This window comes from Homo sapiens, chromosome 2 (genome assembly GCF_000001405.40).
Source record: "Homo sapiens chromosome 2, GRCh38.p14 Primary Assembly".
Classification (NCBI taxonomy): domain Eukaryota; kingdom Metazoa; phylum Chordata; class Mammalia; order Primates; family Hominidae; genus Homo; species Homo sapiens.
In genome coordinates this window covers 54521049-54547615 of record NC_000002.12, presented here as the reverse complement: position 1 = coordinate 54547615, position 26567 = coordinate 54521049, and the positions used below count along the sequence as shown (strand labels likewise).

The following is a 26567-nucleotide window of genomic DNA, read 5'->3' as shown; positions in this document are numbered from 1 at the left end:
CAGTAAAGGATATGGAGAAATTGGAACCCTTGTACGCTGTTGGTAGGAATGTAAATGGTGCAGCTGCTGTGGGAAATAGTATGGAGGTTCTGCAAAAAATTAAAAATATAACTACCATATGGTCCAGCCATTCCCCTTCTGGATATATATCCAAAAGAACTGAAAGCAGGATCTCAAAGAGACACTTGCATTCCTATGTTCATTGCAGTATCATTCGCAATAGCAAGAGGTGAAAACTCTAATGTCCATCAATGGATGAATGGATAAACAAAATGTGGCATATACATATAATTGAATATTACTTAAAAAGAAGAAAATTCTGTCATATGCTATAACATGGATGAAGCTTGAGGACATCATGTTAAATGAAATAAGCCAGTTAGAAAAAAAACAAATATTACATGATTCCACTTACATGCAGTATGTTGAGTAGTTAAACTCATGGAAAGAGAAAGTAGAATGGTGGTTGCCAGGAGCTGGGGGAAGGGGAACGTGGTGAGTTATTGTTTAATGGGTGTAGAGTTTCAGTTTTTCAAAATGAAAAGGGTCTAGAGATCTGACTGCACAACAATATGAACATAGTTAACTCTACTGAAGTTACATTTAAAAATGGTTAACATGGTAAACCTTATGTTATGTGGTTTTTTTTTTTTTTTTACCACCATTAAAAATGAATTTTAAAAACATACTTCAGTAAAGACAAGGAATGCACCACTGGGCAGGGGAAGAAACAGCAGATCTATAAAGCCACATGTTCCCCACCTATGATGCTGAAGCTCAAATCAAACATTCTCAAATGCTGTCAACCAACACATTGATCTCTCCAAGTCCTATCTTCCACCCTTAGGAAAAAAGATATTTACTCGGAATCCTGCCAACTCTCATTTTTACAACAAAAGGCCTCATAAATTACGTACTGCCTTCCAGCCTCACATTTGTGTGCAGTGCGATAGAGTTTATCAGAGTTTATCCATTTCCCACAGAGTTGTCATTAGAGTCAGAACTCATGATCTCGACAACCCAACCTTCATGAAATTGTTCAAAAACTTTATTTTTCAGTCAGCATCTTTGAGATTGAGTCCTCAAAACACAGGGGAAATAAATTGGTAGTTTAGAAATAGTAGCAATGCATCATACTCAAGCAGGCAGGTACACATTTACACAACTTAGGAGTGTGTGTATGCACATATACAGGAGAATGCCTACATGTATACAGATCACTTTAACAGATATCAGACAAGTTTTTCTTACTCTGAAGTTTTTGTGATACCCCCATCATCAACTATCCTGAAACACTTAGACTTTGCCCAGCCAGCTAAAGAACACTGATATTCTGTCAATGTGGGTACATACATAGTTTGCTGTTACGAATAATTTTGCCATAATAAGGGCTTATGAAGCAACAGACCAAGGTTCTTACTGATCAAAAAATTGTCCTTGTAGTTGGCCTATTAGAGATCACGGAAGGGCAAATGGCAAAAATCATTACACAGGAAAGAGGTCTGTAATTTGTAGTGATTATAATCAAAGTTACACTAGTTCTTGTTAATAACACTCTACAAGAGCCTGCATTTCTGACTCATCAAGCATAAAACATTAACAAAAATTAACAAGAGACTAGGTCTTGAGTCAGAGTCACAGGGCATTATTTCCTGTAGAAGGACAAAGGTTGCTATCATCCCTGTACCAATACACACTCTGTGTCTCACTGTGTACACAGAAACCACCAGGAAAAAAATGCCAAAACTTACCTTGGTAGCAACAGCCCGTTAGCATGCTAACTCCCTAAGAGCATATACACAATCTTAGAGGTCTGAGGGCCCTCAGAATCCATCCAGCCCACCCCCTTGTTTTTCAGATAAGGACACTGAGACAGAGAGGCTAGATGGAGTTCTCTAAAGTCAAGTTAGAGAAGTCCAGTGGACTCCCAGAGCTCCTGATTGCAGTAACAGTACTGACAATGCCCCCCACCCACCACCATCTGAATCCATTTTTGTATATGCCATCAAAAAGCTTTGTTACCTAAAAATAGTTTTGCTGGATTTTAATGTCCATCTGCCAGCTTTTTCTAATGGCAGGTTAGCAATAGAATAGTAGGCTTGTTAAATAAAGCATTCAGCTAGTATCTATCACTTAGTGGGGTCTCTGGGTACCTTTGCTTATTTAACTTCATCCTTCCTTAAATGAAAGTTTACTCCGTTTTATATATACCCAGTAATGGGATTGCTGGGTCAAATGGTATTTCTAGTTCTAGATCCTTGAGGAATTGCCACACTGTCTTCCACAATGGTTGAACTAATTTACACTCCCACCAACAGTATACTGGGTATATACTCAAAGGATTATACATCATTCTACTATAAAGACACATGCACACGTATGTTTATTGTGTCACTGTTCACAATAGCAAAGACTTGGAACCAACCCAAATGCCCATTAATGATACATTGGATAAAGAAAATGTGGCACATATACACAATGGAATACTATGCAGCCATAAAAAAGGATGAGTTCATGTCCTTTGCAGGAACATGGATGAAGCTGGAAACCATCATTCTAAGCAAACTATCACAAGGACAGAAAACCAAACACCGCTTGTTCTTACTCATAGGTGGGAGTTGAACAATGAGAACACATGCACACAGGGCGGGGAACATCACACCCTGGGGCCTACTGGGGAGTGGGGGGCTGGTGGAGGGATAGTATTAGGAGAAATATCTAATGTAAATGATGAGTTGATGGGTGCAGCAAACCAACATGGCACATGTATACCTATGTAACAAACCTGCATGTTGTACACATGTACCCTAGAACTTAAAGTATAATAAAAAATAAAAATAAAAAAATAAAAGTTTACTCCTTTTTAAAACTTTGTTCAAGTTTGTATAGCCTACCAAAAATCCTATCTAGGATATATTTTATATCTCTATATCTTATTCATATTGCCATATCTTTTTGATGTAGTATTTAGTACAAATAAATGTTTGACATTTTTTAATAGGTCTCTTAGGCCTCCTGTTTTAAATTAGTCATGTGTATCTCTTGTGCTTGACAGTCAGAAACAAACAGACAAAAATGACCCTGTAAAAGTATCTGATTCTCAACTCTAAACCTTTTCGTTAAGTTTAGGCAAGGTCTGGCTCTTCTGGGAAAGGTTTAGTAAGTTCAATAACCACTCTGACATCACAAATGAGATACCTGAGGTATCTCAAAGTCTTACTCATAATTTGCTAATATGGAGTAATTGTAGGGAGAGGTAGAAGATTTTCCCCCCATTAATTAAAGAGTATTCAGAGCCCTACAAATACTTATGTGAAGGAAGGCAATTTCCAAGAAGGTTGGAAAAGGCAGGTCAAAGATAGGCATCAGAAGCTTTCAATTACTGCCTGGAACCCAGAAGCCTCTGATTTATATTACCACTAGAGCAAGCTGGGGTAAACAACAACCTGATTCAGAAAATCTCAGACTGAAATCTGTAACACGGGATATAATGCTTTCCAAAGACTTCTATTAGTATTATAGTAATGTTCTATAATGTTCTCCAAGATGAAAGTGATACACACATTTTAAGTATTATAAATAATCCTCCCGGGAATTTAGTAATATTTCTTCTTTATTATCCCCTTATACCTAACTACAGCTGTCTCAACAAAGAGGAACAGAGCACTAAAGCTAAATAACCCCCATGAAGGACCAACCCTCTTCCGGTAAGAGCCAGCCTGTCTGACTTGGATTGTTCTACACTGACCATGTCTCTCTCCCTCCAAAGAACATGCATCTCCCACTCCCATCTGTCTCTTCCTCCAACCTCAGTCATTTTTTTTGGGGTGGGAGGGGGGACCAATTTATCAAAAGTTTAAAATATTTTTATTGTATTTTTCCATTAAATCATTCTCTCAATAAATGTTTAGGATTATGCAGGATCATTTTAATGTGCATTGAGTGCAAATCCGAAACAGGAAAGTACAGTGAGAGAAGATACAAATGCAAAGACCATATTAATTTTTTTAATTAAAAAAAAAACAAGTATTTTTTGGTGCTTTTCCTGCTTCCCAGGAGAAGGACTGAGGGTCACAAATGCCCTCTAAACTTCACAGCAAACAAAGCCACAGGTCCCCAGTGTCGTCAGGCCATCAGAACATGTGCCTTTTGAATGTTCCTGCCTCCTCCTTGGCTTCTCCTCATCTTCCCTTGCATGAATGCAATATTTCTCAATATGGAAGGCCTTTTTGCAGGGAGGAAATAGAAGCCCTCCCTTCAAAAGATTTATTTCCATAATGAAATGTTATAATTAACACTTCACATGCATGCCCACTGTGTGCAGACACCGAGCTAGGAATCTTCCACATTATTTTAAGTTCCTGCAACATTCCCATAAGGTGGATATTATCCTCATCCTAAAGGAGTCACTTGCCCACCATCGCATAGCTAGTAGGCGACAGAGCAGGGACCTCATGTGGGACTCCAGGCCTCTGAAGCCATCCTTCCTTCCTCAGCATCAGCCCCGAGATGGACAGTCCTGGATAGCTGAATCCAAACCCAGGAACATTCAGGTGCTCCAGCAGTGGGAGGACCTCCAAAGTGTATTCAGACAGGCAGACTGAGAGAGCCTCAGGGCCCATACAGTTTCCAAAGGCTGGACAGAATACAGACAAATATGAGCTAAGAAAAACATAATCCTAAAAACTAGAGGCCACACGATAGAAAGGGGAAACCTTGCAGATTTGTGACCAAAATACCTCACGACCCTCATCTATCCCAAGCATCCAACATCCAGAGGCTTCACAGAACCCAAACCAAATTCCTCTTCCTTCCTCTTCCCTTTCCCATCCCCTTGGAGAGCATGTCCTAGGAAGTCTAATTCAACAGTTGAAAAGGCCCTGCTTTCTCAAGCCCTCAGCCACAATCTCAGCTTCAGGGCCTTGTTTCTTCCCTGGAAGAACACAACAGTCCCCTAAAATGGCGTTCCTCCCTGTGCCTTCCTTCACAGTGTCCCCAGAGGGATCCTTCTGAGACAAATTCCACATCAGTGGTTCTCAGGGGCAGTCACAATGGCCTTGAGCCCCCTGGGGATGGAAATCTAGGGGAGGGTCCTCTGCTGCTTCTAGCGTAACTCCAAGTTGGTAGTTTTACATATTGAGATTAATTAACAGTTTTCTATTTGAAAATAAAAATTCTCCTGAGATAGATTCTGGAAACCACTGGCCTACAGGATAAAGGCTAAACTCTTTGGCACCACGGCACTCCTCGTTCACTCCTATAGTCCTGCCTTGAGCTCCTTCTGCAGCTCTTCTCATGGCATCTCGACATAGCCATGCATGTTCAGGCCATTCATGGCACTGCTTGCTTGGCCTGAAATCCCTTTCATCTACTGACAACAACTCTCCTCTGTGAAAACTGAAAATCTTTTCTGCTGACCACAGACTTGTTTTCACTTAATCACCTAACTGTGTTTCTACCACCGATCACAGTGCCTGGCACATAGTTAAGTACTCAAATATTTTACTCATTCATTCACTAATAAATGAATGAAACAAAATCAATAAGCACTCATTCTAATAAAGCTTAAAAATAGATCACTTAGGTGTACTTTGAAATGTACCTAACTACCACAGGATATTCCAACACCATGTAATAAAATTGAATTAATAGATCAATGCTAGCATTTTAAAAAATGGAATAGAATAGAAAGTATCAGAGCATCTCATGTGGTACACGTAAACACTACTTTGTGAAATTTAAATGTGTGTGGATACACACAAATACACCCATAAACATACATTTATGTGTATGTATATTCTCAAATATACATACCTTTATGTGTACTATATTGCCATATAAAATATATTCCTTACTGAAATGGTTGAAAATTATTTCTTTCAAAATCACAAGTCAGTTATAGGTTACATCTCCATGAGTACTCTGAAGTCATCCATTGAGTTTTTTAAAACATAGAAACATCATCCCCCATCATAAAATTCAGTTCGGACAATAATTGTGTTGCGTATGTCAATTAAAATGGCTCCCTGAATGTGAGGGAGTTAAAAAGAAAATCCACATGTGGGCATGCCTGAAGATTACGACTGATTAAATGAATGCACAAACAAAGCTGCACGGGAACAACTGTTAATTCAGTGTGAGGGGTTTTAGATTTCACATTAGTATCAAGTGCATCCTCCAGCCTCGCCTCTTCTCCATCCTGTATTTCTCAAGGTAGTCTTGAATGCCTCTACATTATTTACAAGCATCCATACTAACACTGGCCTTCCTTCAAATGCTTGGAGACAATGAGTATAATTCCATGGACAGTGTGTATAGGGGCCCAGGGCAAATGCTGGAAGCACACACAAATCCTCTGCAGTTCTAGGCATAAAAGTGTGTATGTTCATAGTAGAGACATATAATGGGGCTAATAGATTTGGTCTGTAGGCTTACTTCTCCAAAATCGGCATATAAAACAGCTTTGGGACTGGCAATCCATGGAACTGTCAAATACATGTCCCTGGCTAGAGAAAAAGGTAAAAGCTAACTGGAGAGCCACACTGGCTAAATAACATGCTGCTAGTGGCATGGATTTAGGAAGTTACTAGATTGTTTTTGTTGTTATTAACCACAGGAAAAAAGGCTTAAATTACACATCAGTTAAAACGACGACAACATTCTCCTCCACTTGTGCTCTACAGTGAGGGGCAGATGAATGGCCTTTGGCTGTTGCAGCAAAATAGAGGTAATCTACGTATAAACTACTACAATTTTAACATTCCATTCCCTATCTTGCTTGGTCACTATAGTCACCTAATACTCTGTATGTCCTTGTCACAATACAGTTCTCCAGGAAAACTGTGGCCAACGTTTGGAAAAATTAACCATGAAATTCTCAAACTTCAACTGCTAACATGTACTCCAGGCTAATGATGACAGAGAATAACACAGGCAAACTGCAGGCCAACCTTGGGGAGATAGTTTCTTTAGAGATGCCCTCTACTGAGTGCCCCTGATATCCAAGGAACATGGAAGGTAAAGAGGCAAAGGGGGAAGAGCTCCAGAAACATCCCAGTGACCTAAGGAAGGAAGAGAAAACTAAAGAAATCTTTAGCTTTAGTTCTTTTAACCAAAAAGGGTAAAAACCTTAGGGTGAGATACCTGGAGCACAAAAGAAGGCAGGGGCCAAATCCACAGTAAAGGACGTGTGAGTCACTGTGTAATGGCTTCTACTAAGCTAGCAAACAATGCCTTAAATTTCCCAAACCCATCTCTACCAAGTTAACATTGCAGCATGTTAACATCATACAGACACTGCCAGAATGAAAATCTAAGACAAATATTCTGGTAGGAGAAAGATTAAACTCCAGGATTCTATCAATCAGCTGGTCTTACTTCTGTTTATTACTAGAAAAGAAAAATTCATCTTAGTTCAGACTGCTAAAACAGAATACCACAGACTGGGAGATTAACCAACAACCATTTCTCTCTCACAGTTCTGGAGGCTGGAAGTCAGGGTGCCAGCATGGTTGGGTTCTTGGTGAAGGACCTCTTCCTGGTTTACAGACAGCCATCCTCTCAGATTCTCACATGGTAGGGAGAAAGATCATTTCCCATGTCTACTTTATACGGACATGAATCCCATTCACGAGGGCTCCACTTTCATGACCTAATTACCCGCCAAAGACCTCACCTCCTAACACCCTCATGGTGTGGGTTAAGATTTCACCATATGAGTTTGAGTGGGAGGAACAAACATTCAGCTCATAATGTTTTCAATAATGTACACAGAGTCCACGCACAGTGGCTCACACCTATTATCTCAGCACTCTGGGAAGCCAACGTGGGCTGATTTCTTGAGCCCAGGAGTTCAAGACCAGCCTGGACAACATGGCCAAAATTCGTCTCCACCAAACAAATATAAAAATTAGCTGGGCATGGTGGTGTGTGCCTGTTGTCCCAGCTACTTATGAGGCTGAGGTGGGAGGATGACTTGAGTACGGAAGGTGGAGGTCGCAATGAGCCAAAATCGCACCACTGCACTCCAGTCTGGATGACAGAGCAAGACCCTGTCTCAACAAAAAAGTACACAGAAAATATCTCAAAAGATACACATCAAACTTTTAAAAGGAATTATCTTTAGGGAGAAAGATGGGAAAGGCTTTGGGGAAAGAGAAACATTTATTGTCCACTTCTGCAGTGTTTGAACTTTTTTTTGCAATGCATGCACTGTAATGTACAATGTAATACATGATTTTATAATGCATTTTAATGTAAAATTATTAAACACAAAGAAATCTTTAATAGGTATCACAAAAATTAGGAGGAAATTTTCCCCAGATGAAAGTGATAATTAATAGCTCTGACCATGAATGAGTTCTTCAGTCTGACAAGCACTCAATAAAAAGCAGAGGTGCATTCAGACTTAGGTGAGGTGCTTGTAGGGAATGTGGAAACAAATGTTACCACTGTCACTGTCTTCAAGGAATTTAGTCATCAGCTGGAGGGAGACTATGGATACACCCACCTAAGTACACACATGACACTAATAAGACACAGAGAACATGGGGTACAGAATAGCAAGGGCCAAGGAAGTTTCTTGAAGAGGAAAGGTTACTGTGAACCATACAGGCAAGAGGGCTCCTGGCCAGGGCTGGAGCTCAGAGTGGAGGCAGTGGGGAGAGCTTGGGTTTCCTGCAAACTTAGAGTGAACCAATAGGTAAACATGTAACACAGGGAAGGGCTGAGAACCCGCAAATGGCCCGGCATCTCCGACTTCAGTCCATCTGTTTCTTAGGATGCCTAAAGACACAATCTTGTGACTAATAAGGCGACTTCACATACATGTTCAAAAAGTCTAAGGCGTCTGCAGAAATTTAAACCTGAATGGCAAAATTCTTATCAGCCTCACCCAATAACAGGTACCCATCAGTCAATGATGTCATTATCTGAGAGTTCTGAAAATTCACAGGCTTGCAGCAAAGAGGTCAAAATTCAGAGCTCTGCAAATTCCCTTGAAGATTAACTAATAAAAATACAGAAGAAATAAGAATTGTAGAAAACAGATGTATTTCTCAACCAGAGGATGAAAAGGCTAAGATTCAGGTTTTCAGGAAGTATCACAACACTTTCATATTAATTCATTGCTTGTTTTATACACATTGTCTATTCCCCAAAAGAGGTTACATGTGAGTAAGGAACAAAGTGTTAATAGAGTACTTATATCACTGTACTGCTAAAGAATCTAGAATGGCACTCTAGTACTAAGCACCTGTCATGCTCTAAGAGTGATGCTTGGTTCTTGAGAATCCAAAGATGCAAGCTTGGGATAGACTGTTTCCAAGTTATCAACCACACATATTCACAAGACAATAACTTCAATGCAAATGAAACACCATGTTAAAGGCATATTCTAAAGACTGAAACGCTAATGTTTGTTTCTCTTTGTTAATTTTGTTTATTCAAAAATCTTAAATGAAACTGTCCATTATTGGGCTCCTTTTTTTTAAGTAACCAACCAATGGTAAACATCACCTTGCATTTTATAAAATGTCTTTATCTCTGAATCAAGAACATCAGTCTATCTGAAAATGTGTCGTAAACATTCATTGTTACTTACTGTCATCTTCCCAGCAAACTTTCCCCTTTGGGGGAAACAGTTCCATGTGGTTCCAGGGAGAGCTGCCATGCTCTTATGTCCCTCCACACTCCATACTCCAGTTCACTGCTCTAGACATTTGAGTAAAGCCTGGTAAATTACAGCCTTTCTCCCAAACACCCCTAATATTTCCAACTGGAACCAGAAAAAATGAAAGGTGGTAGAGAGTGAAGCCCAGGAGCAGATGGCAGCCATGTTTCCTGTCATCTAGAAGACTACCTACAAGGGGCAGAGACAGAAGCCCACTTACACAAGGTCACTAACAACAAGAGATGGAGAGATGAAAAGCCTTAATTTCTGTTGTCCTAGGGGCCCTTCACCCTTTCTTCAGATTGGCTATTTAGCCCTTCCCTTGATCATCCAAGATACTCCAGTCTCTTTCCCCAAAAGTCCTACTATAAAATGCCTTCCTCCACCCCACCACAATTCTTCTGCATTAGGCATGCCAACAGTATCCTCCAACTGCCAGTCAGATGCCTCTGAGCTATGGATGGATGGAGCTGATGTGTTCTGTACATATGGCTTCCAGCTCCTCACCAATGTTTGGGGACACCTCTTCTGAAGGTATCCACTCTAAGTATCCGGTTGGCCATGATCTGGTATAAAAGGATCTTCCGGGTCAATCAAAACCCCATCTCTGTACCCAACCTTACAGACATTTGAACTACAGGAAACAAGGATATTCAGTCATTTAGCAATGAGGACAAAAGGCAAAGGATAGGCAAGAGCTGGGGTTGGAATGACAGTATACCAAAGCCACATGTGAGCTGAGTCAAGGAGGAGCAGATACTAAGCAGAGGGTTCCAATGAATGAGGCGCATGGCCCATCGGAAATATAAGTAATGCCTCCAGGTCCACAGCAGCCACTGTCACATAGATTTTTCAGGGCTCATTTGCATGAAACTTTGTAATAACTCTCTTGTATGTATGTATTTATTTTTTAAAGACAGGGTCTTGTTCTGTCACCCAGTCTGAAGTGCAGTGGCACAATCACGGCTCACTGTAGCCTCAGCCTCCTGGGCTGAAGCAATCCTCCCACCTCAGCCTCACAAGTAGCTGGGACTATAGGTGTGTGCCACTGTGTTCAGCTAATTTTTTTTACTTTTCAGAGACACAGGGTCTCACTATGTTGGCCAGGCTGGTCTTTAACTACTGGACTCAAACAATCCTCCCACCTCAGCCTCCCAAAGTGCTGGGATAACAGGCATGAACCACAGCTCCCGGCCTCTCCTTCTTTTACCCCATATCCACCACACACATATCTTTGTTGTTCAGAGAACTCAAGTGAATCTGTATTCCTTACAACCAGAAGGACCTAACCAAAAATAATTTTCTAAGCATGATTTTTTTCAGAAGTCAATCATTAGACATAGACCAAATATTTAGCTCTGCTGTCACCTGGACCCCTCTCCACTGGACTGCTATTGAATATGATCATGTCAAACTACTGGTGAATTTATAGCTTAATAATCACAACTATCTTCTTTAATTGACTTGGTATCAAAAATCAAATGCAACTTAAGAAACTATTTAACATCTACCTAGCATCAATTTTCTCTCCTAATTAGAAAATTAAATTGAATGGTATCACTGAAGATGGAGGTTAAATAAAATTCTAGAGAGCTGCGTTGCACTGTTAAATTTAAAAATATACTTTGTGTCATTCTGAGTTTGCTTTTATCATGGGACATGTTTTATTTTTAAAATACACATAACTTTACAAGTGCCTTATATATAAATTAAATTTATACCTTTTATCATCCTATGATAGTACTTTCTCACAGGTCCACTTTGGTAGAAAACTGGCAAAGGGGTTAACTGTGTAAGTGAATTTAATAACGGCAACAAATAGAACCATCTGAGACACCAAACACCCACCAATAGGCCTTTATGATGACCACATTTGGGGAAATGAAAAACTTCCTAAGTCTACAGTACTTACTCTATTTTTGAGACAGAGTCTTGCTCTTGTCACCCAGCCAGGCTGGAGTGCAATGGCGCAATCTTGGCTCACTGCAACTTCCGCCTCCCAGATTCAAGTGATTCTCCTGTCTCAGCCTCCTGAATAGGTGGTTACTCACATGTAACAGGTGTGCACCACCACATCCGGCTCATTTTGTATTTTTAGTAGAGATGGGTTTTTACCATGTTGGCCAGGCTGGTCATGAACTCCTGATCTCAGGTGATCCACTTGCCTTGGCTGGGATTACAGGTGTGAGCCACTGCATCTGGCCTACAGTAGTTTCTGATGCCTACAACAGATTTGCCATCTGTTTCCAGGCAACCACCAAATAAAAATCACAGCACTATGGTACTAGTAGCTTTTACAGAGTATTTTCTGCTCTTTCTCTCTAATCTACCACTATTACTTATCTAAGAGAGCAGAGACAGAAATAAGGTACTGATACATGCTACAGCACGGATGAAACCTGAAAAAGTTTTGTTAAGTGAAAGAAGTTAGACACAAAAAGGCCACAGATTACATGATTCAATTTTTAGGAAATGTCCAGAATAGGCAAATCCATAGGGTCTGAATGTAGACTAGTAGTTGCCTGGGGCTGGGGGAAAGGAAAATGGGAAGTAACCGCTAACGTACATGGGATTTCTTTGGGAAGTAATAAAAATGCTCTGGAATTAGTGGTAATTGTCACATAACTCTGAGTATATTTTAAAAACTGCTGAATGGTATACTTCAAAGGGGGTATATTTTATGGTATGTAAATTGTACTGCAATAAAGCTGATATGTGTGTGTGAGAGAACATGTATGCAGACAGAGCCAGGAAAAGGATAAGAAGGCAGAAAGGTCACATACATTTTTCCTCTTTTGCTTACACAGGCAGTCCCCAAATGAAGAGCAATTGTATTCCTTTAATTCAGTCATAAATCAACTCTCAATTCTATGAGATTTTTCACAGAAGAACGGAGCGCCTCAAAAGTAAGTGAGTGACTTAGGGAAAGAATTCTGGTGGAGTGGAGAGAATGAGGAGTTCAGACAAAGGCTAGGGGTGGAACAGGAGACAAAAAGGGGAATGAGGATCAAGAGAGGTTCTCTGAGGTGACTGAGGAAGGAGAACCTGGGCTCTCAAAGAGTGAGGTGCAGGAATAGGGGCTGGGCCAGGAAGGGGGATGAGTGCATGGTGAATAGTCAGAAACTCTGGGAGCACGAGGCTTCCATCTGCATGTTCTCCCATGCCTGGATCACTCACCTCAGCGACTGTGAGATTTCAGCCATTGCTGAGGTGAGAAGAGAGTCTGAGGTAGAACAGGAGAAGGAATCCAAGCTGATTTCAGAAGCAGGGGAGAAACTGGGTCTATAGTGGTGAACAGACAGAGGAGGGAGAAGGAACCAGAGGAAAACTACACCTAAAAAAGTAAAGCAAAGATTCTTCCACCTCTATGGTGAGAAAACCATGGAAACCATTTATATGTGAAAAATAAATTGAGGGTATAATCTAGGACTACGTGCAAAGACCTCAACAGACTTTCTCTCAATAGCTTTCATGAACAACTTGGATATAAAATGCTCTTTCAGATTCAGATTTCACAAACAATGGTAGTATAGTTACTGTGTGCTAGGGGCCACACCTCTTTCACAAATAGTCCCAAATAATGCATAATTTAGGGATACAGCCTGAAGAGTAGATGAGGAAAATAATGGGTAGCTATTAAATCCCTGTTAATCCTCTCTGTAAAAACCCATTCCACCATGCAAGAAGCTGTTCTCTTTCCCTTGGGGCAGGAAAGTGTCACCTCTGAACAGAATGTTAGGTGTGCGAACAAGAAGAGCCCTAACATGATTTAGACAATGAGTCCAGGCGTGAGATGGCATATACTATCTTAAGCAGCCCAAAGCAGACTTTCTGTTTTAAGGAGAGGTGTTCTCAGAGACCTGCAGCCTAGCCTCTTCAATTTTGCTGCAGTGGAAAATGAAGCAGCCACGACGAGACTCAGGTCCCAGATTCCTCTCTCCAAGTTCCAGTGCTCTTTAGGTCACTAGACCCTACCCCTTAAAATGACTGGGGTGTGTGTGTTTGTGTGCGTGCGTGCGTGTGTGTGTGTGTGTGTGTGTGTGTGAGAGAGAGACAGAGAGAGAGATCAATCTTTCCCCCTAAATTACTACAGCAGGCCGGGCGTGGAGGCTCACGCCTGTAATCCCAGCACTTTGGGAGGCCAAGGCGGGCGGATCACCTGGGGTCAGGAGTTCGAGACCAGCCTGGCCAACATGGTGAAACCCCGTCTCTACTAAAAATACAAAAATTAGCCAGGTGTGGTGGCGGGTGCCTGTAGTCCCAGCTACTCGGGAAGCTGAGGCAGGAGAATCACTTGGACCCAGGAGGCGGAGGTTGCAGTGAGCCAAGATCGCGCCATCGTACTACAGCCTGGGTGACAAGAGCGAAACTCCATCTTACTACAGCAATCATTGCCTATACTAACTTCCAGGCACTTGTATACATATATAGTCTCATGTAAATAGGTTTCCTCCTCCTAATTAGATCATTCTAGGCCATGTTTTATAGATTTCTTTACATATTCAGGAAGAGGTTGGCTCTGTTCGTTCACTAGAAGTCAAATGGTTTAGACACACACACACACACACACACACACACACACACACACACACACACTAGTCCCCTTTAGCCTGGGTTTCACTTTCCATGGTTCAGTTACCTTCAGTCAACCATGGTCTGGAAATATGAAATGAAAAACTGAAGAAATAGGCAATTCATACGTTTTAAATTGCATGCCATCCTGAGCACTGTGATGAAATCTTGCGCCATCTCGCTCCATCCCGCCTGGTATGTGAATCATCCCTTTGTCCAGCAGACACACACTGCAGACGCTCCCTGTTAGTCACTTAGCAGCCGTCTTGATTATCAGATTAACTGTCAGGTAACCCTTATTTGACTTAATAATGGCCCTGGGCTGGCAATTCAGATATGCTAAAAAGAAGCGACTGTCAAATGCTTCCTTTAAGTGAAAAAGTAAAAGTTCTCAACAAGAAAAGAAAAAAAAATCCTATAATGATAAGGTCTATGTTAAGAATGAATCTTCTATCCGAGAAATAGTTAAGAAGGAAAGAAATTTGTGCTAGTTTTGTTACTGCACCTCAAGCAGAAATGCATTTTTCTTGTCTCACAGTAGAATCAACACAAATTAGGGGAAGACGTAGTCTTTAAAAAATTGTGTAACTGTTTTCTTTTTACTTCAAATAAAATGCTGGTTTCCAAAAAGTCCAGCTTAGTTTGAATCACTGCATGTTCCATGATACCAAGGCAACTGGTCAGAGGTCAGGAAAGTGGGCCTGCAATCACGGGATGCAAGCAATCATTTACAGAAAACATAAAAACTACTTCACTGTGCTAGTTAACAGGATTGACCAACGCTCTCCTCAGCTTCCTTCCAAACTGTAAACAGTAACACCTCAGAAGTGGGGAAGTACCATCTACCATGTTTTCACTCCACATTCCACTTTAGGAATAAGTATATATCTTGCCAGTCTGTTACATATACAAAAGATGTATATTTCAAAGACGTAGTATAAAAAATGTAAAGTGTCTCATTAATAACTTTTCATGAGGATTGCATGTTAATATATTTTGGATATCTATAAATATTCTTGGATATAAACATAAAATTTTGGAGTATATGACAATACTCAATGTTAATTCTAACTATTATTATTTTTGAGACGGAGTCTCATACTGTCGCCCGGGCTGGAGTGCAGTGGCGTGATCTCGGCTCACTGCAACCTCCGCCTCCCAGGTTCAACCGATTCTCCTGTCTCAGCCTCCCAACTAGCTGGGATTATAGGCGCCCGCCACCACGCCCAGCTAATTTTTTGTATTTTTAGCAGAGATGGGGTTTCGCTACGTTGGCCAGGCTGGTTTTGAACGCCTGACCTCATGATCCACCAGCCTCGGCCTCCCAAAGTGTTGAGATTACAAACGTGAGCCACTGCGCCCGGCAATTCTAATTATTTTCTTAAAACACATCTAAGTCTTAAATTTTTACAAGCTGAAGACTTGAGGTTTCTTATCATTCAACTTGCATGAGGGGGAAGCTTTCAGATGAAGCTTTTCTCTGCTTGGAGAAAAAGCTGTTGCTTTCAATCCTGCCAGGTGCTCCAGGTCAAGTTCTCTGTATTTCCTCCTGATCATCACGCTGATGTTTCTGGCTACTAAGGAGCTGGGGGTGGCGATGAGTGACGCAGATATGAATCAGACTGATTTTCAAGCAGCAGAGTTTAAGGAAAATGAAAGAACTAGGCACTGGAAGTGACTGATTGCTGGCCGATTCATTGTTGTAATGATAAGCTGGTACTGGACAAGTGATCACAGGCCTGATTTCTACATTAAAAAAAAAAAACAAAAAACAAAAACCGATATAGCCAGGCTTTGTGGCACACACTTATAGTCCCAGCTACTCAAGAGGCTGAGGCAGGAGGATCACTGGAGATCAGGAATTCAAGGCTGTAGTTAGCTATGACTCTACCACTGTACTCTAGCCTGAGCAACACAGAAAGACCCCATTTCTAAACAAACAAGAAAACCAGCTGACACCCTGCCTACTATACTAGAGATGCTATCTCCCCTGTGAAATATCTTAGTAGTCTGATTCCCCAGTACCAACTGGGTATGCTACAATTCAATTCAATTCTGACACCTCTACCTGACATTATTGTTAAATCCCATAGGATAAAGGGCTTGGTCCCACAAGACTGCCCCCATATCAGATGCCAGTTCCAAGTCCCAGGCCGCAGGCTGTAAATTCAGGGGTTCCCAAGAACCCCCTCAGGTTCAATAATATGCTAGAACAACTCACAGAACTCAGGAAAACAATTTCCCCTTTATGTTTACCAATTTATTATAAAGGTTACAACTCAGGAACGGCCAAATGGAAAAGTGCACAGGGCAAGGTACTGGGGTGAGGTGGGGCTTCCATGTCCTCTCAGGGCACCCCACCCTACCTACACCAACTCCCCCCACAGATGAGTGGATGATGCTGAAAGTTCCAATTCTCTAACTGCTCAGTCTTGGGTGCACAGCATCATCCTGAGGCTAGCTAGGGATGGGAGACTATCCCCACCCAAAGTCATGGAATTAGCACAAACTCAGGTGTCAGAAAAGGGACACCTTATGGGTAACAAAAGACACTCCCATCACTCGGCAGACTCCATTGGTTTTAGGAGCTCTATGCCAGGAACCCAGAACAAAGACCAAATATATTTCTTATTATACTGCATTGAATTAAAAGCAATTCCTGAGGGTGAATAAGATGAAGACACGTAAAGTAAAAGTTATTTTAAAAATGTTTTTTAAGCCGGGCGCGGTGGCTCATGCCTGTAATCTCAGCACTTTGGGAGGCCGAGGCGGGCAGATCATGAGGTCAGGAGATCGAGACCGTCCTGGATAACACGGCGAAACCCCGTCTCTACGAAAAATACAAAAAATTAGCTGGGGTGGTGGCGGGCGCCTGTAGTCCCAGCTACTTGAGAGGCTGAGGCAGCAGAATGGCATGAAGCCAGGAGGTGGAGCTTGCAGTGAGCCGAGATTGCACCACTGCACTCCAGCCTGGACGACAGAGCAAGACTCCGTCTCAAAAAAAAAAAAAAAAAAAAAAAGTTTTTTACAATTCACAGATAACCTAATAATAGGAAGTATCTGTCAACTGGGTGAGAATTAGTAACAAGTAGTTTACCTCACCCTATTTCCTTAGATACATAAACCCTGAAAGCAGCTTAGTAAAGGGCACAGGTGGTGGTTCCACTATCAGTACAAGATGAACTACACCATTAAAAGATGAATTCCTACATGTTTTGCAGATCTGCCTCAGAATTCAGACTGAAACCTAGATTAGATTGTATCTACCGAAAGCCCTAGAGGGACACAGGAAATGTGATATGTACATTTTTATGGCTCTAAGCAAAATGTCTCGCTTTAGAACATGCATGTTCAGCAGAAACCCCACAATAGCACTCCCTCCTGTTGGGCCTATCACTGTATCACTCCCCTATAAGGGACAGGAAGATATCTCCCTTTCCTCAAAGTCAAGTGGTTAGCCTACCACACCACTCCCACATCAAGTGGACCTTTTTTTTTTTTTTTTTTTTTTTTTTTTTTTTGGTGAAAAGAGATATGTATATTTAGAATTAGCCAGATGGACTCAGTTTGGATGATCCCAATTTTGTTGGCAACATCCAAAGCATCATAATCAGGAGCCAGTGGAACATATGCCTTCATCTCTCCATCAGGGTGTTGACCTTGGCCCCATCAATGTCACAGAGCTTCTTCACAGCCTGTTTGATCTGGTGCTTGTTGGCTTTAACATCCACAGTGAACACAAGGGTGTTGTTGTCTTTTATCTTCTTCATGGCAAACTCAGTGGTCAGAGGAAACTTGATGATAGCATAGTGGTCAAGCTTGTTTCTCCTGGGGGTGGTCTTCCGAGGATATCTGGGCGGCCTCCAGAGTCTCAGTGTCTTGGGCCGCTGGAAGGTGGGTGACATGCGGATCTTCTTTTTTTTGTGGCCGTGGACACCTTTCAACACTACCTTCTTGGCCTTTAAAGCCTTTGCTTTGGCTTCAGCTTTAGGCGGGCCAGGAGCTTCCTTCTTCACTTTCGGTGCCATCTTCTGAAAAGGGTCTCAAGTGTATCTTTGAGGTAACTCTACTGGGTTTGAAACTTTATTTCTTCCTAGACTTTAGCTCGGTCCAGATGAAGTGGTCTCAAACACCGAAGGAAGGGGACTGGATGACCATCAGTACTCTGCATCAGTCACAAAATGTGATCCCCAAGCCAGGGCATCACCTGGCCTGTTGGATATGTAAATTATCCCCACTCAAGGCCTACTGAATCAGCATCCCGTGCTTTAACAAGCCCTCTACTTTTCAAACCACTGTTCTATTCCAGACACTACTGAATTGTTCTGTAACTCCTGCTATCAGCATATAGTTTTTTAGAGGACTCAAGAGATTCTTCTGTCCCACAGAATAAGGAAGTAAAATAATAAGTAGGATAAGATAATTTCCTTCATTACCTTCCTCCAACAGATGGGTTTCCTGGTATCTTGTAAATTCACTGAATGCAATTCCTGCCCCCCCATCCAGTATCATTTAACCTGGAAGCAGCATCTTTCCTTTTCAATATTTTGCCCTGGTTTCTTCTAGACCACAGGATGCATTCCTGAGAATTCCAAAGATCTTTTTAACATGTTTGAATTACCTCACTAGCAATGCTCTCTGCCAATGAGCTTTACATCTTTTTTTTTTTTTTTTACTTTACTGAATACTGAAAAAGAGTATACACTGCAGAGTTAGTATGCCTTCAGCCACTTAGCAGCAGTAAGCCCTTGGGCAAGCTTCTTAATCTCTCTGGAACCTGTTTTATCATCTATACAATGTAGACAGTAATAATCTCTCTCATATGATTGTTATGGGATTAACTGTTAATATATGCCGGCATTTCCCACAGTGCCTGGCACACAGTATAAGTACTATATTGAGTGCTTGCTATTATTATGACTACAGTTACTGAGGGACCTAGGTAAACATCCTAGAAAGGTTAAGACAAATGATGGATACTAAGGACAGCTGGAGGCTCTCCTCTCAAACTGTAGGAAAGACCACATGCAAAGAACAAGGAACTGTTCTGTAGTTTGCAAACAAAATGGTCCTTTAGAAAGGAGATAATACATAGCCTGGAATCAGAAAGTAAGACTCAAGATCAAAGGTAACTGGCCATCACTAGCATACTGGCCTAAAGACTCAAATGAAAATACAAGAAAAAGAGGTGAGAGATTAAAATACAAATCACTTTACTAGCACAAGCCAGGGTCATGATCTCCATAGAGTTCCATGTTAATGAATGATAATGAAGCCCCAATTCTAGAGTGACTGATTAATCATTCATTCAGGCCAGCTCAAGAAAGATCTTTAAATCAACACCACTCAAGAGACAAATTATCCTAAAGCAGCTGAATAGTTTTTCTGTAGTACATTGTTAGCTGTACCCCCAACATCCATTCTCCTCTTCCTCTTTTCTGTTATATTCCAATCTTTCTAGCCAACTTGTTTGGTTGAGACTGACCAAACTTTCACTCTAAGGGGTGCATCCTGTTTAGAAGTTAACAGCACATGAGATTCTCCAACACCAGCGGGAGAAGCACATGATCCAAGTCATGATCAATCACGCCAGTGAGACTGATATATCCGGGCCATGGTAAGCAGAAAAGCATCCTCTTTTCTGCTGGATGTCCATAGTCCAAGGGGGCCAGGGACCTGGGGCAGCCATCTTGGGACTACAGGATGGAGCCTGCTTGTGAACAGAGCCTGCACTAGAAAATAAAGCCAGAGTAGAGAGAAAGAAACTAGATCCTGGTCACACCATTTAAGTCCAGGAGTAAGTCTTGCTTAAAGACTGAATTTGCCTACTGTGTGACCAATAAATCCTCTTTGTCACTTAAACCACTCTGGGTTAGGTTTCCTTTGTCCACAATCAAGATGACTCTAAATGATGCATGCTTCATAATCAGATTCCACTATAAAGGCAACAAAAATGTGAGTTATGTAGTTAGAATTAACAGTAAACTTAACTTCTCAAGTCATGACTTTGATTTACTTGTCACAATTAAAGACATTAGAAAAAAATCATTTGGAATAAACTTCATCTGAAATTTCATTTGAAATCTCAAAGTACAGATGCAGGACCTTGAAAAAACTCGGTTTTGATACTTGGTTTACATATATTCAGTACAGCTGAGTTTTCAGAGCCACAGAACGCTTTCCTGATTTTCAGGGCAATTTTAGGGTAAAACACTCCTCACCCTCACTGGGGCCATGGAGAAAGTGTGCTCTAGGTGTTCACCAGCAACAAGGGAATGAGAAATCACAAAGTAAGGACATGTTCCACGAACTAATGGACCAATGGCAAACTTACTCGTTACTGTATTAAATGTGCCTTTACCAGATTCAGCTTTTGCTTTTCAGATGTAAAATCCTTGCGTGTAATACTAACCCATCTTGGTACAGGTCAGGCCAGTTAATGTATCACAGGCACTAAGTACACAGGTTAATTTGTATATTTTTGAGTATAAGGAATAGTATGCTTTGATATTTTGGAATGTAAGATTTGTCAAAAATAAAAGAATTCTTACAAACTTAGGGCAGCTGTTCTTGAATTGCTATAAATAACACTCTGTGCTCTGAATAATTTTGGCCATTAGAGTTGACAGCTCTCCAAATATGGAACTGACTACCTTATAAAATGGTCAGCTGGCTCTCAAGGACACATTTAAATAGAAGTGAGACAACCTTCGAACATGACAGCGTCATGGGAACAGGGTGGATGATTTTAAGGGGCATCCTGATTTTAGGCATCCTGGGCCTCTGTGACAGGTGTGAAGGACTCACCTGCCAGAGCCTTGATGCGGGACCGCTCAAAAAGCCGCGCAGAGCTGTTCTCATTGTCCCAGTCGTCGACATCCCAGCGGTTGTTGACATCACTGTACTGCTGCTGGATCTCAATGTTGTCATAGTCTGTGGCTACTGTGGTCGTCATCTTGAACTGTCTCAGCTGCTCCTCCACATCAGCTCCTTCTTAGAGTTCTATGAGAAAGAAAAGGAAAAACATTTAGACGTCTGAAGTGTATACAGTCCCCACGGAACCAACTGGGATAAGAGTGAGCAGAAAATAAAAACAGTGCTTGCCAAGAATAGGTCTTCTGGAGCAATGCTGGTTTTAGGTTTTAGCACTGTCTCATAATAGATGTGTGACCTTAGCCAAGTTACTTAGTATCTCTAAGCCTCAGTTTCCCCAACCATTAAAGAGGGAAGATACTTCAGAGGTTGTTGACAGGACTGAATGAGATGATGGATACCCCCAAAATGGTGGGTTTATTCCTTCTTTCTAAAGTTTAAACTCTGCAATTTAAAAATGTTATCAGAGGGCCAGGTGCAGTGGCTCACGCCTGTAATTCCAGCACTTTAGGAGGCCGAGGTGGGCAGATCACCTGAGGTCAGGAGTTCGAGGCCAGCCTGGCCAACATGGTGAAAACCCGTCTCTACCAAAGATACAAAAATTAGCTGGGCGTGGTGGCACATGCCTGTAATCCCAGCTACTTGGGTGGCTGAGGCAGGGAGAATTGCTCGAATCTGGGAGGCGGAGGTTGTAGTGAGCCGATATCGTGCCATTGCACTCTTGCCTGGGCAACAGAGCGAGACTCCGTCTCAAAAAGAAAAAAAAAGAAATGTTATCGGAGGTAGATCAACACCTACGTGGGGCTTCTGAATGAACTCATTTATTCCCATTGTGTATCACCATAAATTATAATCTTTAAGCTTCTCCTGGAAATTCATAAAATGTTATATAAGAGAACTAGCAGATCATTTTATCTAAACATCTCACTTACATATTAGAAAACTGATGCTTAAGATTAAGATGTAAGGCCAGGCACAGTGACTCACGCCTCTAATCCCAGCACTTTGGGAGGCTGAGGCGGGCGGATCACCTGAGGTCGGGAGTTCCAGTTCAGCCTGACCAACCCATCACTACTAAAAATAAAAAATTAGCTGGGCGTGGTGGCGCATGCCTATAATCCCAGCTACTTGGGAGGCCAAGGCTGGAAAATTGCTTGAACCGAGGAGCCGGAGGTTTTGGTTGAGCCGACATCATACCATTGCACTCTAACCTGGGCAACAGGAGCAAAACTCCAATAAAAAAAAAAAATTAAGATGTAAGTGTATGGCAACCAAGGACAGTACCAGTGCATGGTAGATGCTCAATACACGCTTGCTATTCTTTATCCTGAACTGATAAGCTTTAAACACAGCTTCTCCCTTCAATATAGCTATTATTCACTCATTGAACCAAAATACAATGAAGACTTACTACGTACTCTGTGCTGGACCAGATGCTAGGGATAAAAATGAACGCAATAAGGACCTGGCTCTAGGGAAGCTTATATCCTAGTGGTAGGAGCTGGACAAAAAGCACACAAGAAAAGGCAAGATAGTTTAAATAAAAAAAAATGACAGCAGAGTCATGTGACTATTTTTAGATCTGGTGATCAGGGAAGGCCTCTCGAGTGGGTCCTGAAACTGAGAACTCAATGTCAAGAGGAATGAGTCACGCACAGATCAAGAATAATAGTGTTTCAGGCAAAGGAAGCAGCATAGCATGCAGGAGGAACGGCAAGTTCAATGTGGCTGAGTCTAGTGGGCAGCGGGAGAGACTCGGAGACAAGGTTAGGGAGGGAGGTGGGCGAGCCCAAGTGTGGCGGGAAGCAACTGCAGGATTTTAAGCTAATAACCGACACCACCCTTGAGTGTATTTGTAAAATATTCTTCCCAGGGCTGTGTGGAAAACAGATTCTAGGCGGCAATAATGGAAGCAGGGGCCACTTGGGAGGCTACTCCAGAAATGATGGCGGTGCAGCTCTGGGTGGAGAAGCGGGGATGGTTAAGAGGTGGATGTGCTTAGAGGTGGATGTGCTTTGGAGGGAGAACTGACAGGGCCTGGTGAAGGACTGACTAGACCCGAGACATTGAGAAACTGAGCTAGTGCTATGCCTGATGCCTATGGGTGTGGTTAAATGTGGTTAAATTCCCGCATATTTTAAATTTCACTGGGGGGAAACAGGCTCAGTCAGGCATATGAAGCTATCTAAGTAAGTTGTTAATCTGCAAATGTAGGAAGAAAGGAGTGAAAAGACAACACCCCTTTTAAAGTGGTATGAAGCTATCCCAAGAAAAAAAATAAATTATCAACATTTTTTTTTTTGAGATGGAGTTTCGCTCTGTCACCCAGGCTGGAGTGCAGTGGCACCATCTCGGCTCACTGCAGCCTCCGCCTCCTGGGTTCAAGCAATTCTTCTGCCTCAGCCTCCCGAGTAGCTGGGACTACAGGCGCGAGCCACCATGCCCAGCTAATTTCTGTATTTTTGGTAGAGACGGGGTTTCACTATATTGGCCAGGCTGGTCTCGAACTCCTAGACCTTGTGATCTGCCCACCTTGGCCTCCCAAAGTGCTGGGATTACAGGCGTGAGCCACCATGCCCGGCTGTTATCAACATCTTAAAACTCAAAAATTTATTGTCAGGTTTTTGTAGCTGGATGCTCACTTAGTGAAAGCCTTGTTCAGTGTGCACCAAGATGTGCACCTAGGCCAGAGTCAGCAGGCCTCCTCACCACAGCCTGCGTGCTAACCAAACCAGACACCACTCAGCAACACAGAAGGATCATTCAAGAGATGATTCTTCCCCCTCACATATGCCACCACACAAAAAATAAACAAACCCATATATGTAGAAAAGAAACATTTATCGTGCTTGAAATGCAGCTTTTTAAAAGTTCCAGCACATAACCACACATGCCACATGCAACCAAGTTTCCATAGTAAATAAGCTGAAACAAATTAACTGCACCTTAAATAAACAGTAGGCTCTTGGGTGGTACCAGCACACAACTGCCTGCTCTTTTGTCATGGCTGTTTTCTCACATGCTATCCAAGAACACAGCCAACACACCCCACATGTTCCTGAGGAAGAAGCACTGAATCCACTTTACCACTGAGCCACAACATCTGTGACTCAAACTGTCACCCATCTCTGCTCTAATAGAAAAATCCTGAATGGAAGTAAAATCCTGGATTCTCATCAGAGAGACATACTCAATCTCAATTAAGTACATTCACGGGTGTATTAATTTTCACACCTACGTTAGCAATTTATTTATGGGATTTCATAAAAACACAAAAACTTCAGAAATCTAATCGAGTAAGTATATTCCATTGAATGATCTTACAGTGGCATTTAACATTCAAAGTCATAAACCCTTCCAAAAAATGAAAATTAATAATGTCATGCAATCATCTGATCTTGAATATAGTTAACTTTCATGACTATTATCAATATCAGAGACTTTTATAAAATTCAAACTTGGAGGATTCTATCTCTAGGGAGAAAATGTGAAAGTGCTATTAATCCCAAATTCTGAAAGTACAGAAAGTAAAATTTAATCCAACCCAACCCAAGGTAAAACCCAAGCAAGGCATGCCTCTCCCCAGATAAGTTTTAGCTATTTGGTGCCACCTGCTGACCAATGAGAAGAAACCCCCAGGGCTGCTATACCTGCGCTGCAACATCCACCGCACCTGACTCCTGCAGAAGCCCAGCCTGGCCCCTGCCCTGCCCCCACCTGCGAATCTCTCTTTCTATCACTGAACCAACAACTGCTTTCCACAGATTTCTTTCTTTCTTTCTTTCTTTCCTTTCTTTCTTTCTCTCTCTCTCTCTCTCTCTCCTCTCTCTCTCTCTCTCTCTTTCTCTCTCTCTTTCTTTCTTTCTTTTTGAGACAGAGTCTCGCTCTGTCACCCAGGCTGGAGTGCAGTGGCATGATCTCAGCTCACTACAACCTCCACCTCCCAGGTTCAAGCAATTCTCCTGCCTCACCCTCCTGAGTAGCTGGAATTACAGGTGTGCACTATCATGCCTGACTAATTTTTGTATTTTTAGTAGAAATGGGGTTTCACCATGTTGGCCAGGCTAGTCTCAAACTCCTGAACTCGGGTAATCTGCTTGCTTTGGCCTCACAAAGTCCTGGGATTACAGGTGCGAGCCTACCTTGCCCAGCCCACAGATTACTTAGTAAGTAAGTGATAATTCTTGTCTTAAGCTTAAAAGAAGTCACTCAGAGAACTAAAGCACCTTTTTTCCTAATGTTCTTTCTTAATGGTATTCCTTAAAAACACTACTATTGTTCCTTAAAACGGAAAGGTTAGGCCAAGAGTGGTGGCTCACGCCTGTAATCCCAGCACTTTGGGAGGCCAAGGGAGGCAGATCACTTGAGCCCAGGCGTTAAAGACCAGACTGGACAACACAGTGACACCCCCATCTCCACAAAAATAAAAAAAAAAAATAGCCAGCTGTGGTGGCATGCGCCTGTGGTTCCAGCTACTTGGGAGGCTGAGGTAGGAGGACCACTCGAGCCAGGGAGGTGGAGGTTGCAGTGAACCATAACTGTGCCACTGCACTCCACCCTGGGTGACACAGCCAGACTCTGTCTCAAAAGAAAAAAACAAAAAACAGAAAGGTGAATGGGAAGTCAAAGTATCCAAATTATCCACTAGTCTGTGTACAAAATAAATAAATAAATATATGCCAAGCACAGTGGCTCACACCTGTAATCTCAACAATTTGGGAGGCCACGGTGGCCAGATCACTTGAGCCCAGGAGTTTGAGACCAACCTGGGCAAGATGGTGAGACACCCTCCCAACCCTTCTTCACTATCTCTATAAAAATTAGCCGGGCACGGTGGCACGTGCCCGTAGTCCCAGCTACTTGGGAGGCTGAGGTGGGAGGATCACTTGAGCCCAAGAGGTCAAGGCCGCAGTGAGCCATGATCGTGTCACTGCACTCCAGCCCAAACAACAGAGTGAGCCTCGTCTCAAAAAAAAAGCAATGCTCTGAGTTCTTTTTATTCAACTGTTTCACTCAAGTGTCCAGAATTTGATGGTAGAGACATCTTTTTTCTTCAATATTCTCCATCTGTTCAAAGACAATGTCCTTTGTCCAAAGAAAGCTGAGTATTTACAGTGATAGAACCCACTATTTTATTTTCAAGGCAATTTCACGGCAAAACATCCCTCGCTCCCACCATAGCCATCATGGAAAGGTCCCTTCTAGGCACTCAACAGCAGCAAGGGAGTGACGTGAGGGTGAAGAAGTCAGAGTGAGGGCAACAGTATGGAAGAGTGTGCCCATGGCATGGAGACTCCAAACTCCAGCATGCTACAAACATCATCATCCTCTAACCCACTTCCACATGGGACTAGGGCCAGCTGTGAGGACAGTTTATATCACACATACAGGTGTCCCAGGAGGTTATCTAAAAAGGGCTGGGTTTTCTCAAGGTGCTATTGGCCATGCCTCC

At 42.1% G+C, this 26567-nt stretch overlaps 1 protein-coding gene, 1 long non-coding RNA gene and 1 pseudogene across 13 annotated transcripts in view, besides 1 other annotated feature; 1 reads left to right on the top strand and 2 right to left on the bottom strand.

Moving 5' to 3' along the window:
• Window positions 1-26567, bottom strand: part of SPTBN1 (spectrin beta, non-erythrocytic 1) — a 215120-nt gene that overhangs the window by 123831 nt on the left and 64722 nt on the right. For all 11 annotated transcript variants that reach the window (NM_003128.3, XM_017004781.2, XM_017004779.2 and 8 more), the window contains exon 2: window positions 21050-21244. In NM_003128.3, coding sequence (NP_003119.2) covers window positions 21050-21197 — 148 coding nt within the window. In that variant the 5' untranslated portion in view covers window positions 21198-21244. The remainder of the gene's footprint in view (window positions 1-21049; window positions 21245-26567) is intronic.
• Window positions 1-26567, top strand: part of SPTBN1-AS1 (SPTBN1 antisense RNA 1) — a 39389-nt gene that overhangs the window by 11090 nt on the left and 1732 nt on the right. The window contains exons 2-3 of the long non-coding RNA NR_185881.1: window positions 3641-3707; window positions 12478-12576. This is a non-coding gene — a long non-coding RNA (SPTBN1 antisense RNA 1). The remainder of the gene's footprint in view (window positions 1-3640; window positions 3708-12477; window positions 12577-26567) is intronic.
• Window positions 17775-18394, bottom strand: RPL23AP32 (ribosomal protein L23a pseudogene 32; annotated as a pseudogene). The gene has a single exon (NR_002229.2). The product of NR_002229.2 is annotated as a ribosomal protein L23a pseudogene 32 (transcript).
• Window positions 22727-22896: an enhancer, noted in NCBI's record as "active region_15759". NCBI's record gives its function as "activates an Ori minimal core promoter by ATAC-STARR-seq in GM12878 lymphoblastoid cells {active_cell/tissue: GM12878}" and the evidence as "EXISTENCE:reporter gene assay evidence [ECO:0000049][PMID:35858748]".